Source organism: Homo sapiens, chromosome 2 (genome assembly GCF_000001405.40).
Source record: "Homo sapiens chromosome 2, GRCh38.p14 Primary Assembly".
NCBI classification, from domain to species: domain Eukaryota; kingdom Metazoa; phylum Chordata; class Mammalia; order Primates; family Hominidae; genus Homo; species Homo sapiens.
Genome location: NC_000002.12, coordinates 202806869 through 202825845, shown reverse-complemented (window position 1 = coordinate 202825845; position 18977 = coordinate 202806869). Strand labels below are relative to the sequence as shown.

General features: G+C 39.7%; 1 protein-coding gene across 4 annotated transcripts in view; it reads left to right on the top strand.

The window, feature by feature from the left end:
- The window catches only part of ICA1L (islet cell autoantigen 1 like), a 98591-nt gene that overhangs the window by 45921 nt on the left and 33693 nt on the right, over nucleotides 1–18977 (top strand). For 3 of the 4 annotated variants that reach the window (NM_001288622.3, NM_138468.7, NM_001288623.2), the window contains 7 exons: nucleotides 79–151; nucleotides 4365–4488; nucleotides 5947–6145; nucleotides 8303–8428; nucleotides 9837–9935; nucleotides 11062–11144; nucleotides 14057–14100. In NM_001288622.3, coding sequence (NP_001275551.1) covers nucleotides 79–151; nucleotides 4365–4488; nucleotides 5947–6145; nucleotides 8303–8428; nucleotides 9837–9935; nucleotides 11062–11144; nucleotides 14057–14100 — 748 coding nt within the window. Of the gene's footprint in view, nucleotides 1–78; nucleotides 152–4364; nucleotides 4489–5946; nucleotides 6242–8302; nucleotides 8429–9836; nucleotides 9936–11061; nucleotides 11145–14056; nucleotides 14101–18977 lie in introns of those variants that run through there. The other variant, NM_001288624.2, reaches the window with a different exon arrangement.

Genomic DNA, 18977 nt, shown 5'->3' with positions numbered 1-18977 from the left:
TGTTATGCTTTTGGGGTGCTTATAACATATATTTGTTTATAGTTCTTTAAATTGTCCTAATAAAATTTATATCTCAAGGTTTTTCACTCTGTTCAAGAGACATGCACTGAACTTCTGAAGATAATCGAGAAATACCAGCTAAGACTCAATGGTATGAAATCATAGTTATCTATCTGATAATCCCCATTTAAAATAAATATTAGCATTTTTTAAAATGAAAGATTTAATGTAAAAACAATTTTGTGAATAGCTTCTTATGGCAAAATATGAATATTTACAGTTACCTGTTCTCAAAGGCCCCAGTATTCTCTCTTCTTTCCTCAGTTAATCAAATCCTCTGACCCAGATTTATTTTTTGCTGATATTTTTTTTCTTTGAGACAGGGTCTTTCTCTGTCACTCAGGTTGGAGTGCAGTGGTGCAATCACAGCTCACTACAGTCTCCACCACCTGGGCTCAAGTGATCCTCCCACCTCAGCCTACCAAGTAGCTGGGATTACAGGCGTGTGCCACCATACCTGGATAATTTTTGTATTTTTTTGTAGACACAGGGTCTCACTATGCTGCCCAGACTGGTTTCAAACTCCTGGCCTCAAGTGATCCTCCTGCCTCAACCTCCCAAAGTACTGGGATTACAGGTGTGAGTCACCATGCCTGGGCCTGCGCAGCATCTGAAATGGATTTGTTTCCATCACTTAAACCTCTCTTTCTTGACTCCCACTTGCCCTTGCAGTTAAATTCCATTCCTCTGCTGCTCTTTACAGAAAAATGTGATGTAATTGTCTGTATTCATGATCTCTGTTCCTTTCCTTCCAATTTCTCTTGTACTCACTCCAGTCAAGTTTTCATCCCCATCACTCCACCAAATTTCTCTTGTCAAGGTCATGATTAACCAACTCCTTCTAAATCTGGCTTATCACATTATTTAACACATTTATTATTTCCTATTCCTTGATACACTTTCTTCACTTGGCTTTCCTGGTTTTCCTCCTCCTGGTCACTCTTTCTTGGCATCCTGCCTTTGCTGATTCTCTTCTCTCCTGGACTTGTTCAGGTTAAAACTCAATCTTTGGATCTCTTCTCCTTTTTTAATTACAGTGGGCCTGCTGGACATGGCTACCTCTCTAATCACACCTCCTAAAAGCTTCTCCTCTTTAGCCATATTAATATCTTACATAGTAGGCATATCTGCATAGTGGAATCCCTAACTTCCTTTGGGTATTTGGTCAAATGTCATCTTTTTAAATGAGGCCTTCCCTGAACTGCATATCTAAAATGCAATACTCTCTGCCCTCAGAGGGTACAAAAAATACAATACAATACAATACCCCTTTCCCTCAAAACTCCCTGTCCAGTTAATAATATTCAACATTCTGTATATTTTGTCCATTGTTTTTCTTCCCACCACTAGAGTATGCCCTCCTTAAGGACAGAATTTTTTTTTTTTGAGGTGGAGTCTCACTCTGTCGCCCAGGCTAGAGTGCAGTGGCGTGATCTTGGCTCACTGCAACCTCCGCCTCCCAGGTTCAAGCAATTCTCTGCCTCAGCCTCCCAAGTAGCTGGGATTACAGGCACCTGCCACCATGCCTGGCCAATTTTTGTATTTTTAGTAGAGACGGGGTTTCACCATCTTGGCCAGGTTGGTCTTGAACTCCTATCCTCGTGATCCACCCACCTCAGCCTCCCAAAGTGTTGGGATTACAGGTGTGAGCCACTGCACCTCGCCAGGACAGAATTTTTCTGTTTTATTTCTGTGTCCCCAGTCTAGAAACAATGTCTAGCATGTAGTCAGTACTCGATAAATATTTGATTTCAATGAATCAATAATTTTTCTCATGTAGCTATGTAAATTAATCTCATTGCTTTATAATCAAAGCTTATACATTGTCCCATTAAAGAAATAAATCCAATAAAGCATGATTATTCAAGTATTTTTTTGACTACCTGCCATGTGCTTTTCCCAAGGAAGTAGTTGGAGAAACAACTTTTTGCACAAAAAGAGAGACAATGTAAGTAGTATGTAATTGAGTTCAGAATAATGATACAGACATAACTCTGAATTCCTAGGAATGAAGAATAACTGTGGATTAGAGTAATTGGCAAAGGCAATTCCATAGACAGGAATTGAGGTAAAACTTAAAGGATTTATAGAAGTTGAACATGTAGAGAAGAGACTTGGAGTTTAAAGAGCTTAAAGAATGAGAACAGCCTGCATAGGCAGAAGAGTCTGTCATTGAAACTAATGGGAGGATAAAGGAACAAAGGAAATTTGGGGTCAGATTACTAACGACCTTATGGCCTTTTACTGCTTGGTAAAATATATCACAATCACTGGACCAAGTGAGTCCTGTGACAGAAATGAAAATGTGAAGAAAATCAGCAAGTTTATATACCCTGAAATCACTAGATCTTTTAGCACTCTGGTGGAGCATTTCAGAATAAGGAAGGGAAACACATATAGATTTAATTGTGTATTTTCACTTCAAGATTGTGTATAAATATGTGATTTCTTGAAGACGATTGTATTAATACATGTGTTGGGAGTAACATCAGACAAATGCAGTAGGTTAGTCCAGCACCATAACTTTATGGGACTCTCTTGACTCAGGGGAGAACAGGTCAGGGAGGGGTCTCTGTAGATTTTGGCAGGCAGGTCTCAACATAGAAGCAGCACAGACTCAGCCTCATTGACTGCTCTTTCTGCAATGATAAAGGTAAGCTTCAGTGATCATTTATGTTCAGTTGATACTTGATAATGAAGTATTCCAAGTACTCAAAGTGCTTTCTGAACCACCATACCCAAATGAATATTTTCTAGTAGTTTTAATTGAGGTATATTTTATGAAGTTCTGATTCAAATAATGTGTAAACTGTACATCTCTCAAGTAATCAGCATTAAATTAGCATGACTCCCCAAACCCCATCTGCTCTGGATCAGGTCAGTTGTTCATGGTTTTATTAGAGATGAGACTACAGACTGTGTAGACACCTTCCTCATTACACCATTGTGCTCTCCTTGGGTCACCCTTGTAGGCATGGCAGCGGGGACAGGGGTAGTGGGGAGGCAGCATGAGGAGGCCTGAGTTCTGTTGCTGCCCCACAAGTAGCCAGACACTTCCCTTTCAGTTTTAACTTTGATTTTTCTATCAGTGAAGTGGGATGAAATTAGGCATGACATTTGTTGTTGTTTATTTACTTTAAGCTTATAATTGGAGCACTGTGGGCTTTCCCCCTTATTAGTCTTATTGTGGTTACAGGATCAGCTTACACTAGATCAGTGTTTCTTAAATTGTGGTGAAGGACCTTTTTTTGTTTCATGGTTTGCTTTCAATCTGTTGTAAACTGATACCTTTGTAAAATTCAATAAAAATGAATTTTTAGCTGAGCACTGTGACTCGTGCCTGCCTGTAATTCCAGTGCTTTGGGAAACTAAGGTGGGAAGATGGCTTGAGGCTAGGAGTTTGAGACCAGCGTGGTCAACATAGTGAGACCCTGCCTCTAAAATAATTTTTAAAAAATTAGCCAACCACTGTGGCTCATGCCTGTAGTCTGAGCTACTCAGGAGGCTGAGGCAGGAGGATCACTTGAGCCCAGGAATTCGAGGTTGCAGTGAGCTATGATCAAGCCACTGCACTCCAGGCTGGATGTCAAAGCAAGATCCCATCTTTTAAAAAAATAACTTTTAGAAAAATGAAATAAAATACGTGAAAAATGTATTATAAGCTCACTTTATTAGATTTGACAAATATAAAATGCTCAAAGTCTCTACACAGTTATTCTCAGTTTCCTTACTTCTTCGCTTGTCACAGCTTGGTAACAGAGGATTCTGGACCAATACTGGTCCATGGCCTACACTTTGAATAGCAGTGCACTAGATGACAGTTTTTAGGGTTGCTGGAGCAGAACTGTGGACATCTGTGAGTCTGCGATACCGAGCACAGGAAACTGAAGCCAGGAGGGAGTCAAGAATAAATTAACAAGTTTAAATAGGGAACAAATACTTTGTAAGAGGCAATGATCCTAAAATACATCTCTGCACATTTGAAAATGCATCATTTATGGCTTTATTTTATAGTTTTGAGGGATTTTTGTCACTAAAAATCAGTCCTTCTCAAAGCGAGGTCCATGGATTCACTGTGTCGAAACCATCTGGAGTGCTGATAAGAAGCCAGATTCCCTAGACCTATGGAAAGTAGAGTCTCTGGAAATGGAGCCCAGGAATTGCATTTAAAAAATAAGTCTCTCTTCTTCTTCCCCTAAGTAAATCTTGTATAGAGAGTTATTGCTGTGAGATTTTTAGTTGTGTGTATGTTTTAAACAAATGATGAAAGGAAACAATTAACTACACTGTAATTTTTTTCCTAGTTATATCAGAGGAAGAAAATGAGCTAGGGCTCTTTTTAAAATTTCAAGCAGAACGGGATGCAACTCAAGCTGGCAAAATGATGGATGCCACTGGCAAGGCACTTTGTTCTTCAGCCAAGCAAAGGTTTACCATGGTTGTTCATTATCTTGAATCTGTAGTCAATCTGACAGTTTTGACATGTGTACTTAAATTTGCATATTTGTAAAGGTCACTGTTCATTCTAATAAAGGGTTAAAGAGAAATATATCACAGTTATGTTGTGACACCTAATTCTTAATTACTAATTTTGTATTCAAAATAATTATTTAATGATTGATGTTCTTGGTTGCTTAATTTCTAGAAATAACCTTTAGGCCTGTATTTATATTTCTTTTATTTCCCCTAAAATCAGACAAGTATCAGTTATATTTCTCAACTGGTTTAATGTAACAGTCACAGAATGACTAACATCTTAAAAATGTGTATTTCCAATTTCGCTTTTTGATACTATACTATAAATATAGTGGTACTTTTTAAGTAGAAGAAATTTTTTCTTCTTAATTACATACTTTCCAGTTATTATTTCAGTTTCTAATATAATGATACCTACTGCAAAGAATCTCCTGTAATTACTAAACCTAGCCCAAATCTTTTGCATTTAAGAAGAATAAAACAGTCCTTATCAGACCTATAATGATGGTGTCCAGTTTATATAGCTTTATTCTGAAACATCACATCAGTGCAAAAGTCTATCTTGAAGGAAGTGACGTGGAGGTACTAAGTACAGGGCCCTCCAATGGTCACTAAGCAAAAAGGAGGAATTGGATTTAATCTGTGTTTCTTAAATACTTGTTATCTTGTCCTCATCCTCAGCTGCTAAGAACTCCATACTCATTAGTTCTGCTAGCAAAACCCAGGTTTTCCCTGAACTTGTCAAATGAAAGGCTTTCTGTTAATTGGATTATGCTTTATGAATGCAGGTTCTCTGTTCCCCTCAGAACTGTTTTCTAAATGGCAGATTTACTTGGCAGGTTATTTATACATGGAATAACTTCCAAAGTATTGCAAAAATGACATATTTCCTAAAGTAACAAGGGAGGAGGTGTAGACACTTTTTTTTTTTTTTTGAGATGGAGTTTCGCTCTGTCGCCCAGGCTGGAGTGCAGTGGCGCCATCTCGGCTTGCTGCAACCTCCACCTCCCGGGTTCAAGCGATTCTCCTGCCTCAGCCTCCCGAGTAGCTGGGATTACAGGCACCCACCATCACACCTGGCTAATTTTTTGCATTTTTAGTAGAGACAGGGTTTCGCCGTGTTGGCCAGGCTGGTCTCAAACTCCTGACCTCAGGCGATCTGCCCACCTTGGCCTCCCAAAGTGCTAGGATTACAAGCGTCAGCCACCGCGCCCGGCCAACACATCTTTATTGATAATTCAGAGTTGGCTATATGATCCTTATTTGCTTTCAAAATCTCCTTAGGAACTGAATAATTTTTTACTTGTAGATTCATCTTGTTAGCAAATATGCTTTTTCATTGGTTTAAACCTTTGTTTTGTTTTACTTATGATGTGTTCAACCCTCTGATTTTTACCTCTCTGCCATTAGATTGGCCCTGTGTACTCCTCTGTCTCGTCTGAAGCAAGAAGTAGCAACATTCAGTCAAAGGGCAGTATCTGATACCTTGATGACAATTAATCGGATGGAGCAGGCACGCACAGAATACAGAGGAGCTCTACTGTGGATGAAAGATGTATCCCAAGAGCTGGACCCAGACACCTTAAAGCAAATGGAAAAGTTTAGAAAAGTATGAAAACGTATCCCTTTCCTTTTCTTGGTGTATGAAATATGAAACTGCCACAGAATAATTAAGATAATAAAATTTCAGATGTTTTTTGGTAAATATATGTTTCATTATACATTCTTGGTTGCTTGGAGACTGTAGTTGAAGTACAAAAGTTTGTCACACTTTTATTTTTACTCCTGGAGTGGCATCTTCACACCATCTACCTTTTTTATTAATTTTTTAATCTGTCTCATGATAGATCTAAATTACTTCTTAAATGTTGCTTCCTTGGACTTTTGAGATTCGTTTGCAGGAAGAAAATAGTTTATTACAGAGGGACAAAAGGAATTTAAGTAAAAATTCATGTAAAATGATTGTTAATTATAAGGAAATATGAAGGTTATCAAAATTTTTATTCTGTCACAATACAAAGTTTGGCCACAGACTTCCTAAGTAACTATGTATGAACATATGTTTTTGCTAAATAAACTCCTTATTATAAATTATAGCCCCTAATTATACTATACATAAATAACAAAATTCATTTTATCATTCATTTCATAAATAGAGAACCCATAATATAAATCATAATATTTAATACTGATGGAGCCTGACTCTGGGCCAGCTATTAAGTGGTTTGCCTCATTGATTACACACAACAGCCCTATGAAGTAGGTGAATACATGGCCTCAGGCCACAACTACCTCGTATTCCATCCCTTTTACAATCTTTGACAGTGAGAATACAGTCCAAGGGAGTGATTGAACAACATTGCGAATGCACTAAATGCCACTTAATTGAACACTTTAAAATTGCTAATTGTATGTTATGCAACTTTCACCTCAATTTTTAAAAGAAGAATAATGTATTAGTCTATTTTCATGCTGCTGATAAAGACATACCCAAGACTGGGAAGATAAAGAGATTTAATAGACTTACAGTTCCACGTGGCTGGGGAGGCCTCACAATCATCATAGAAGGCAAGGAGGAACAAGTCATATCTTACATGGATGGTGGCAGGCAAAAAGAGCTTGTGTAGGGAAACTCTCCATTTTAAAACCATCAGATCTCGTGAGACTTATTCACTATCACAAGAACAGCATGGGAAAGACCTGCCCCCATGATTCAGTTATCTCTCACTGGGTCCCTCCCATAACATGTGGGAATTCAAGATGAGATTTGGGCAGGGAAACAGCCAAACCACATCAAATACAATCCAAGTCCCTATCTGGACCCTAAAAACCCTGCATGGCCTGATCCCTGGTCCCTCCACAACCACGTTGTACTTGCTTCCTACACTCCAGGAAGAACGTGCTCTACCTCCTTGCTTCTTGTTGTTCTAACATGATAAGGTCTTCACCCCCTCCCACTCTCAGGACCTTTGTCCTTGCTTGTCCCTAGTTCTGGAATGCTCTCCCCAGGGTCTTAGCATAGCCTGCTCATCATCTTTCTGTCCCAGTTCAAACATCATGCATGATCTCACCAAGGACTTCCATGTCATCCTTCACTCATTTCTGTTTACTTATTTGCTACCTTTGCAACTATATATTTATTTACTTCTTTTTTTTCCTGTGCCTCCCTACCCAAGGATGGTGGGGAAGAACATTGTTTTGTTCACCACAATATCTCAGTGCCTAGAACAATGCCTTGCATATAATAGGTGCCTTATATTTGTTGAATAAATTAATATATTAAAAGGTTGAGTATTCACACTACCTGATGGCATGACTCACCATTTATTCAAGAAATATAATAGGCCTCTACTGGAATTTATAAATATCTGCATGATTCAGAAATATTATTAATGTTTCTCAGTGCTTTAACGAGGTCCCCTTTCCATTTATTCTTCTGCTCTTAGCTAAGTGCTATCCATGAATAGTTTTAGATGTTTCTTTTTATTTGGAATACTTTTTAAAAAACTATTTGCTTTCCATCTATTATCTCATACTTTCTCAGCATAAAGATATCTTCTGGAAAGAATCTCCTACAATTACTAACAGTAGCAAAATCTTCATCATTACTCATGAAATATTAATGATACAGGGAAAAGAAATTAGTCTTTATTATAATTTATTTCTGAAAATATTTATTATGAACCTGTATACTATATTTATGTCTGTAATAACATACTATATTTATAGTATATATCTGTAATAAAAATTAGCATTTTTATTGCAGGTACAGATGCAAGTGAGAAATAGCAAAGCTTCTTTTGACAAGTTAAAGATGGATGTTTGTCAGAAAGTGGATTTACTTGGAGCTAGTCGCTGCAATATGCTATCTCATTCGCTCACTACCTACCAGGTACCCACCTCCATGGTCAGCATATCCTTGCAGTAAAGATGAGTGGTGAGATTTCTTTTTAAAAGTTGTCTAAAGGGTGTAAAAATTTATGTATGATTAGATTCCTTTGACTTTGCTTTATTGAGGTTATGAAAGTCAGAGAGTCAAAAAGTTCTGAAAAAGACCTTAGAGACTGTTTACTTCTGTAGCTCTTCTCTTTGGTGTCAAAGGAGAGAGAGAGACTTAGGGACCATTTGAGGTTGAAGAGGGGAATGTTGAAGAGGCAAAATTTAAGGCCCATTTGCCCTGGTTTAACCAGAGCTGTTCCACTTCTGGGTTTGAAGTTCTACATACAATTTCATCTGAAGCAAAGATTCTGTGCCCCCAAAAGTTTAAAACCTTTTCTGTCATTTTATGGATGAGGAAAGTGACACCTATGAGAATTAAAGTGAACGGCAATGTTGGCTTAGAAACCAAAGTTTTCTATTTCTAAGTTATATGTTCTTTTCATTCTGTCAAGTTGCCATCCCATACCACTTTAACCTCAGAAGTCTCACTTGTGCTTATAGTACCACAAATCACATATAAGTAACACACAATGAATAAGTTAGATATTAATAAGTAGCAGCTATTGATTTTTACATATATTTTTCAATGGAAAAAATTGAATAAACTGTACTTACATAAGAAAAGAGTAATAAACTACAGGAAATGGACATTCACTCCTGCTTTTAGGGAGTCTGCCTATTTCAGTTCAGTACTGTGGGATTCAGAAATGGAGAAAGGATGCACTTGAAAATAACAGTGTGTGATATCTGTTTAGCATCTTGCCTGAAACACAATAGCTATGAGTTCAGTTTTCCTTTATTCTCTCCATTCATCCTCCTCACTTTAATCAGGAACCTTGAAGCAGCAAGAAAAATGTCCAATTACTTGAGTTAGCTTGAGAACACATTTTTTGGCAAATCTTTCTTGAACTCTAGATGAAAGGCCAGATTTAGTGGTAAATGTAATTTTTCTCCAATTAAAAAGTTTTATATATTCCCATCAACATAAAGATTACACATATGTTCCTCCTTTAACAGAGATTGGTATTTTTGTGCTTTTAACATTTCTCTTTTTGATATCTCAGATGTTCTGATCCCTAAGTTTTCATTCTCTTAGCTGCAGTCACTCTCTGGGTGGCTCCAGTGTGCATTCCTGTGCTATTTATACAGTTAACTCCCACACGTGCAGACACAGATGCCGATTCTTTTGCACAAGTACTATTTGCAGTGCTTTATGGTTCCCTAAACTTGGAAAATTGAATTTAGTTCCTGCTTCTTATTTTTTGGCAACTGTTCATCTACTAAACTAGTAAGGAAATATAGCACTTAAAAAATCATGGAGGGGAAGCAGAACTGTAGTGTCACCTTTTCTTTTTTTGCAGAGAACACTGCTTGGATTCTGGAAGAAAACAGCTCGAATGATGTCCCAAATTCATGAAGCCTGTATTGGCTTTCATCCGTATGATTTTGTAGCTCTCAAGGTACATTGTGTTCCATGTTCTCTTGTTTAGATGTATTACTCTTCATTTGGGTGATAACATTGAAACTTTTTTTTTTTTTAACCAAGGTTAATTTAAAATTTACAAAACATTGAGAAACATTTTCCTTCAGCCAAGGGTCAGCACTTTCCTAATTGCAAATGTTGCCAGCAACACTGAAATAACATAGGAATACTGCTGGCAGGCCCAAGATACTAGTAGGACAGGGAAAAAGAGGGAGAAAGTAAAAAGAAAATTTAAATGAAAAAAATTTAAAAGTAAAAAAAAAATTAAATTTAATTTAATTTAAAATTAAAGGAGATAAGAAAAGGCTATGCAAAGGAAGATCTTAAGAGGAACAAGTGATGGAAAGTGGTCATGTGCTCTTAAAAATAACCAGATTACCTACCTGACAGTATTAGAAGTTAGAGAAAAACTTTGTTTTACTTTTACACTGATGTCATGGATATGGTTCATGATAACCAACATTATGCCAGGTTTCAGTACCTTTTAACTTACCATTCATTCTGCCATATTTTCAGTAAAGCTTGAAAGTGTTGCTGGCTGGTTTGTTCAAGCTGGATGTGGTATTTGTGATAGGCTCATATCTTGCATATTTCTGGGGTTTAGGATGGATGTTAAAGTCATGTTCTGACATGGCATCTTCCAGCACCAAAGATACCCTTGAATTAGGTTGTTTTTTGTTTTGTTTTTACTTTTAATATAATAAATGCTTCGCTGTATGGCATACTGTGTATTTAGGCAAATTTTATATCCAATTTCTGCTCAGAATCAAAATTGAAAATCTTTAGCTGTATTTAGAGCATTGTGATACAGACTAGAAACACAGTTTAAGTCTTCTTTAGGCCTATTACTAAGTTGTTAAACTAATCTGTGGCTACCCCACATCACAATATGTGCAGTTTGCACAGGCAGCCAGGAGAAACAAGTGTATGAAGCTCAGTAGCTCAGTTCAGATTACATTAGCATACATGTCCTATATCTTTCACTCTCTAGTTCAGAACTTCCTATTTCATATGGTTCTTTAGAATTTATATTCTCATTTTCTTTGCAGAGAAGAAGAAACAGATTCATTCTATATACTTAACATTGACTTTCTTATCTTTAGCAACTACAAGACACGCCAAGCAAGATTAGTGAAGACAATAAAGATGAACAAATAGGCGGTTTTCTTACTGAACAGCTCAATAAGTAAGCAGGCATAAGTCATCTGTGTCATGTTATAGAAGTCCTGGATACCATCATATGATATATGTGGAAAGAATTGTTTCTTCTCTTACTGAATATTTATTCCTATGTCATTTTTCCAATCAACACTAAACATTTGTATCATAGTCTGTTTTGTGTTGCTATAACAGGATACCTGAGACAGGGTAATTTATCAAGTAAAAAAGTTTAGCTCATGGTTCTGCTGGCTGGGAAGTTCAAGAGCGTGGCCCTGGTTTCTGGTGAGGGCTTTAGTGCTGCTTCATAACATGGCAGAAAAGGTCAAAGGGGAAGCAGACCTGTGTGAAGAGGCAAAATCAAGGGGCATGCTGGCTGTATAACAACCCATTCAGAAGCATTCCTGAGAGAACTAATCCAATCTCATGAGAGTGAGAACTCACTCATTACCATGAAAAAGGCACCAAACCATTCATGAGAGATCTGCCCCAATGACCCAAACACCTCCTACTAGGTCTCCACCTCCCAATACTCCCACGTTGAGGGTGGGGTCAAATTTCAACAAGAGTTTTGATGAGGAGAAATTCAGATCTTAGCAATTTGTTTTGAAACCTTATATATATTTTTCCATTTTTTCCTTAATATCCAGATCCTACACGAATTTTTTCCATTTTTTAACATAGCAGGCAAAGGACATGACAGAAGTATCAAACTGATTGGGGTGATTAAGAGTCTGTCATTTGGGATAGAGCCTTGTATTAAGAGCCACAAGTACCTCTAGTGACTCTTGAAATGGGTAGCTAGAGAGAAGAAAGGGACAGGTACCAGCAGCTGTGAAATAAACTATTAGAAATCTGTTTCCAGAATAACACACATAGGACTGGGACTGGTTACCTGAAAATACGGGCTGTTGCCGTGTACATCCTTCATGCCCCGTTTCCCTTTTATTATATTATTGTCCCTTTGTTTTTCTTTCAAAGCTGCTATTTAATTCTCATTTTAACCAGATTCAATATATTAACGAACTCAGAAATAAGGGCCAAACAGTGATAAACCATATACTGTTGAGTAGAAGGTGATCCTGAGAGAGTGGTTTGTTATAAAGCCCAACGCGCCTTGGAGTTTGCCTCTTGGCACATGTCCACTTCCCCTTTGACCTTCTCTACCATGTTATGATGCAGCACTAAAGCCCTTGCCAGAAGCCAAGGCCATGATCTTGAACTTCCCAACCTGCAGAACTAAATGAACCTCTTTTCTTTATAAATTACTTAGTCTCAGGTATTCTCTTATAGCAACACAAAATGAACTAAGACACAAATGTAGTATAAGACATTTTCCCATCTTCTCTATGAGGAAATCCAAACCAATTTTTTTTGCTAACTTGAATGTATGTTTTAAGATAAACATTGATAAAATGTCTAGTTATAAATTAAATTTGTGAATTTATATATTGACTTTTTTTTTTTTTTTGACAGAGTCTCACTCTTTTTCTCCAGGCTGGAGTGCAGTGGCACAATCTCAGCTCACTGCCACCTCCCCCTCCCAGGTTCAAGTGATTCTCCTGCCTCAGCCTCCTGAGTAGCTGGGATTACAGGCATGCACTACTAAGCCCAGCTAGTTTCTGTATTTTTTAGTAGAGATGGAGTTTCACTATGTTGGCCAGGCTGGTCTCGAACTCCTGACCTCAAGTGATCTGCCCACTTCAGCCTCCCAAAGTGCTGGGATTACAGGTGTGAGCCATCACGCCTGGCCAATATTGACATTTAAAATCATATGTTATATGAACCATATTAATTTAGTAAAATTTTTCCATTCTCACATTTCATAAGAGTTTTATTCAAAATCTTCTCATGTATCTTTAGCATTATGAGAGCTACTTTTCAAGTTAACTAATAGATGGCCAAGCTCTTCACCTTCTCTTCCATCCAAGTTGTTTAAAAAAACATAATACTATTAGGGAAAATTTCATTTCAGGTCATGAATATTTATTTGCTCTGTAGGTTTATTTGTGTAGTATTTACAAGTAAATACTGTATAGATTTTTAAGTATCTTTAAAGATTTATTAAAAACAACTTTCAATACTAGCAACTGTGAGGTCATGCCCCAGGTGTAGTGACTATGTCTGTGTTCAATTTCTTTTTTTTTTTGTTTGAGACGGAGTCTTGCCCTGTCACCCAGGCTAGAGTGCAGTGGCATGATCTCGGCTCACTGCAACCTCCACCTCCCAGGTTCAAGTGATTCTCCTGCCTCAGCCTCCTGGGTAGCTGGGATTACAGGCACATGCCACCATGCCCAGCTAATTTTTGTATTTTTGGTAGAGACAGGGTTTCACCACGTTGGTCAGGCTGGTCTCGAATTCCTGACCTCGTGATCCGCCTGTCTCAGCCTCCGAAAGTGCTGGGATTACAGGCGTGAGCCACCACACCCGGCCCTATTTCTTTGTCTTAACTTTTTGTCTATTATATCAGATAGATGCTATAAATATCCAAAATTAGTATTGATTAAGGATATTTTAGGCTAACGTGTCTTGCAAACATCACTTCATTGTTCAAAATAGGGTACTCCATCTTTTCTGGAGTTCTTCATTCCCTTGATTGAGTTCACAAGTGTTCTTAAAACCTTTCAAGGCTTGAAAATGAAACTTCTTACTCTATGGTTTTGATGGTGAAGGTTCTTGAAGATTGAGTACTGAGCATGATGCCTGGTGCTTTGTAGATACTCAGTAAATGTTTATTGAAGGAATAAGGGGTGAAAGGTCTGTATAGATCTATAAAAGAAGTAGGAAATTCACCAGATATAGATTTTAGGGGATCTAGTGGACAATGATTTTATGTTTCCTGAGTAGAAAATTTTTTTAACCATATAAAACTGTTTGGGGAATATGAATCACAAGTGTATTATAACAAAAAATCTACATTTTTTTTTGTTTTTACTTCAGGCTAGTTTTGTCTGATGAGGAAGCAAGCTTTGAGAGTGAACAAGGTAAGATGGTAAATTTATTACTTTGAAATGGTCACATTTTAAATGTCAAAATAGTTTATCACAGCCTTTTTTTTTTTTTTTTTTTTGAGACAGTCTTGCTCTGTCCCCCAGGCTGGAGTGCAGTTGCGTGATCTTGGCTCACTGCAAGCTCTGCCTCCCAGGTTCATGCCATTCTCCTGCCTCAGCCTCCTGAGTAGCTGGGACTACAGGTGCCTGCCACCATGCCCAGCTAATTTTTTTTTGTATTTTTAGTAGAGACAGGGTTTCACTGTAGTAGCCAGGATGGTCTCAATCTCCTGACCTTGTGATCCGATCCGCCCACCTCGGCCTCTCAAACTGCTGGGAATACAGGTGTGAGCCACCGCGCCCAGCCTCCATCAACTTTTGTTTTGTCTGGGCAAGTCTGTTTCTCCTTCATTTTTTATCAGGCGAAATTCACCCCCGATATTTCACGTAGGTTCTTTTCTATTTTCCCCAAGTGTCGGCTGGTCTGAGAAATAAAGGGACAGAGTACAAAAGAGAGAAATTTTAAAGCTGGGCTTCTGGGGGAAACATCACATGTCAGCAGCTTCCGTGATGCCCCACAAGCCGCAAAACCAGCAAGTTTTTATTAGTGATTTTCAAAAGGGGAGGGAGTGTACAAATAGGGTGTGGGTCACAGAGATCACATACTTCACAAGGTAATAAGATATCACAAGGTAAATGGAGGCAGGGTGAGACCACAGGACAGGGGCGAAGTTAAAATTGCTAATGAAGTTTCGGGCAGGCATTGTCATTGATAACATCTTATCAGAGACACGGTTTGAGAGCAGACAACTGGTCTGACCAAAATTTATTAAGCGGGAATTTCCTCGTCCTAATAAGCCTGGGAGCGCTACAGGAGACCAGGGCTTATTTCATCCCACAGCTATGACCATAAAAGACAGCTGCCCCCAAAGCAGCCATTTTAGAGGCCACCCTCAAGGACACATTCTCTTTCTCAGGGATGTTCCTTGCTGAGAAAAAGAATCCAGCGATATTTCTCCTATTTGCTTTTGAAAGAAGAGAAATATGGCTCTGTTCTGCCTGCCTCACCAGCAGTCAGAGTTTAAGGTTATCTCTCTTGTTCCCTGGACATTGCTGTTATCCTGTTCTTTTTTCAAGGTATCCAGATTTCATATTGTTCAAACACACATGCTCTACAATTTGTGCAGTTAATGCAATCATCACAGGGTCCTGAGGCGACATACATCCTCCTCAGTTTACGAAGATGACGGGACTAAGAGATTAAAGTATAGACAGGCATAGGAAATCACAAGGGTATTGACTGGGGAAGTGATAAGTGTCCATGAAATCTTCACAATTTATGTTCAGAGACTGCAGTAAAGACAGGCATAAGAAATTATAAAAGTATTAATTTGGGGAACTAATAAATGTCCATGAAATCTTCTTCTGCCATGGCTTCAGCCGGTCCCTCTGTTCGGGGTCCCTGACTTCCCACAACAATTTTTGGAGGATATTTTCGCTGGATATACTATTCTTGGGTAAAAGTTTTTTTCCTTCAGCAGTTTAAATGTCATCCCACTTTCTCCTGGCCTATAAGGTTTCCACTGAAAAGTCTACTGCCAGACATTTTGGAGCTTCATTGTATGTGATTTGTTTCTTTTCTTTTGCTGCTTTTAGGATCTTTTCTTTATCGTTGACCTTTGGGAGTTTGATTACTAAATGCCTTGAGGTAGTCTTCTTTGGGTTAAATCTGCTTGGTATTCTATAACCTTCCTGTACTTGGATAGTGGTATCTTTCTCTAGGTTTGGGAAATTCTCTGTTATTACCCCCTTTGAATAAACTTTCTACCCCATCTCTTTCTCTACCTCCTCTTTAAAGCCAATAACTCTTATATTTGCCCTTCTGAGGCTATCTTCTAGATCCTGTAGGCATGCTTCATTGTTTTTTATTCTTTTTTCGTTTTTGTTTTTTGAGACAGAATTTCAATCTGTCACCCAGACTCGAGTGCAATGGCACAATCTTGGCACACTGCAACCTCTGCCTCCTGGGTTCAAATGATTCTCCTGCCTCAGGCGTCTGCCACCACGCCCAGCTAATTTTTTTTTTTTTGAGATGGAGTTTCACTCTTGTTGCCCAGGCTGGAGTGCAGTGGCACCATCTCGGCTCATGGCAACCTCCGCCTCCCAGGTTCAAACGATTCTCCCCTGCCTCAGCCTCCCGAATAACTGGAATTACAGGCATGCACTACCATGCCAGGTTAATTTTGTATTTTTAGTAGAGACAGGGTTTCTCCATGCTGCCCAGGCTAGTCTTGAACTCCTGACCTCAGGTGATCCACCCGCTTGGCCTCTCGAAGTACTGGGATTACAGGCGTGGGGTACTGCACCTGGCCTATTCTCTTTTCTTTTGTCTCCTCTGACTGCATTTTCAGATAACCGGTCTTCAAACTCACTGATTCTTTCTTCTGCTTGATCAATACTCCTGTTGACTCTGATGCGTTCTTCACTATATCAATTGAATTTTTCAACTCTGGAATTTCTGCTTGATTTTTAAAAGTTATTTTAACCTCTTTGTTAAGTTTACCTGATAGGATTCTGAATTCCTTCTCTGTGTTATCTTGAATTTCGCTGAGCTTCCTCAAAACAGCTATTTTGAATTCTCTCTCTGAAAGGTCACATATCTCTGTCACTTCAGGATTGGTCACTAGTACACTATTTAGTTTGTTTGGTGAGGTCATGCTTTCCTGTATGGTCTTGATGCTTGTGGATGTTTGTTAATGTCTGGGCATTGAAGAGTTACGTATTTATTATAGTCTTTGTAGTCTGGGCTTGTTTGTACCTGTCCTTCTTGGGAAAGTTTTCCAAGTATTCAAAGAACATTGAGTTGTTGTCATCTAAATCTTTGGTCATTGTAGCTGTATCTGCATTGGCAGGGGCACCCCAAGCCCAGTAATGCTGTGGCTCTTGCACAATTGTAGAGATACTGCCGTGGTGGTCTTGGGTAAGATCTGGGAGAATTCCCTGTATTACCCAGGCAGAGACTCTTGTTCTTTTCCCTTACTTCCCCCCAAACACATGGAGTTTCTCCAAAGCCAGCAAAATACTGGGTCTCAGCCTGGGCCTCCTGTTACCACTGCCTGGCTACTGCCAATATTCACTCAAGGCCCAAGGGCTCTACCATCAGCAGGAAACAAATCCAGCCTGGCTTGTGTCGTTCTCTTCAGGGTGGCAAGCTACTCCCCAGCCTAGAGCAGATCCCAGAATGCCATCTGGGAGCCAGGGCCTAGAGTCAGGAACCTTAGGAATCTACTTGGTTCTCGATTCTACACCAGCTGAGCTGGCACCCAAGCTGTAAGACAAAATCCTTCCCACTCTTCCCTCTTTTTTCCTCATGCGGAAGGAGTCTCTCCCTGCAGCAGGTACTGCCTGGCTATCGCTGATACTCACCCAAGGCCCAAAGGCTCTTCAGTCAGCTTGTGGTGAATGCTGCCATTTTTAGGACTCTCCCTTCAAGGTAGTGGGCTCCCCTTTAGCCCAGGGCAGGTCCAGAAATGCCATCCAGAAGCCAAGGGCTAGAACTGACTACCCCAGGTGACTTCTTGGTTCTCTACCCCACTGTGGCCAAGCTGGTGCCCAAGCTGCAATAAAAAGTTCCTTTACTCTTTCCTCTCCTTACCTCAGGCAGAGGAAGTCTCTCCCTGTGGGCACCATAGCTTAGAATGCACTGGGTCACACCTGAAGCCGGCACAGCCCTGGGTCTTACCCAAGTCCCATGGTGAGTACTGCCTGGGTGCTGCTGATGTTTATTCAGGGCCCAGGGTCTCTTAGTCATCAGATGATAAATCCTTCCAGGACTGGGTCCTTCCCTTTAGGGCAGTGCATTCCCTTCTGGCCCTGGGTATGTCTAAAAATGTGATCTGGGAGCTAGGGCTTGGAATGAGGGCCTTGGGACTCTACCTTGTCCCCTATCCTACTGTGGCTGAGCTGGTATCCAAGTTGCAAGACAAAGTCCCCTTTACTCTCCTTTCTCCTCTCCTCAAGCAGAAAGGAGTTTCTCCTGGAGCTGTAAGCTGCACTGCCTGGGATTGGAGGAGGGGTGATGTAAGCACTTCCTTGGCTGGCTGGCTGGCTGGTATCTCACTAGGTCACATGTACCCTAACTCCACTGGCTCCAAGCCCAGCACAACACCAGGGCTTGCCCAGGAATTGCAGTACTTGTGGCCTAGACTGCCTTTCAAGTTTATTTGGAACCCCAGAGTGCTTTAGCTTGCCATGGTGGGGCTTGCTGGAACTCAGATTCTGACCAGTGGGATGGGTGGTTCCCCTCTGGCTGGGGCTGGTCTAACTGCCCCCTCTGTGAGTACTGGCTGAATTCTGCCCCATGTTGCTTTCAGCTGTGGCAGGCAGCACTGAGTTCTAATGCAAAGTCCCACAATCACTGCACTCTCCCTCCCACAAGTACAGATTCTCTCTCCACACCATGTGGCCACTGCCAAGAGATGGTGGAATGGTGGTGTTGGCAATTCAAGACTGTCTTTCCTATCTTCTTCAGTGCCTCTTTCAGTGATACGTAGTTAAAACCAGGTACTGTGATCTCTCACCCGATGTTTGGTTGTTATGAAGGTTCTTTCTTGTATGGATAATTGTTCAATTTGTTGTTCCTGTGGGGTACAGGGGGGAAATGATGGCTGGAGAGTTCTATTAAGCCAGCTTGCCCTGCCTCCTCTCCCCAAAGATAGGTGCTTTTAAACGCAAAAGTCCAGTTTATAGGGTTGCATGATTAAGTTTTGAGTTTTCCCTCATACTGAAATTTGTGTTATCTTTAAAAAATAAATACATGTTATATATACAGTCGACATATATTTGAACCACTGTGGTAAGGAAGAGTACAG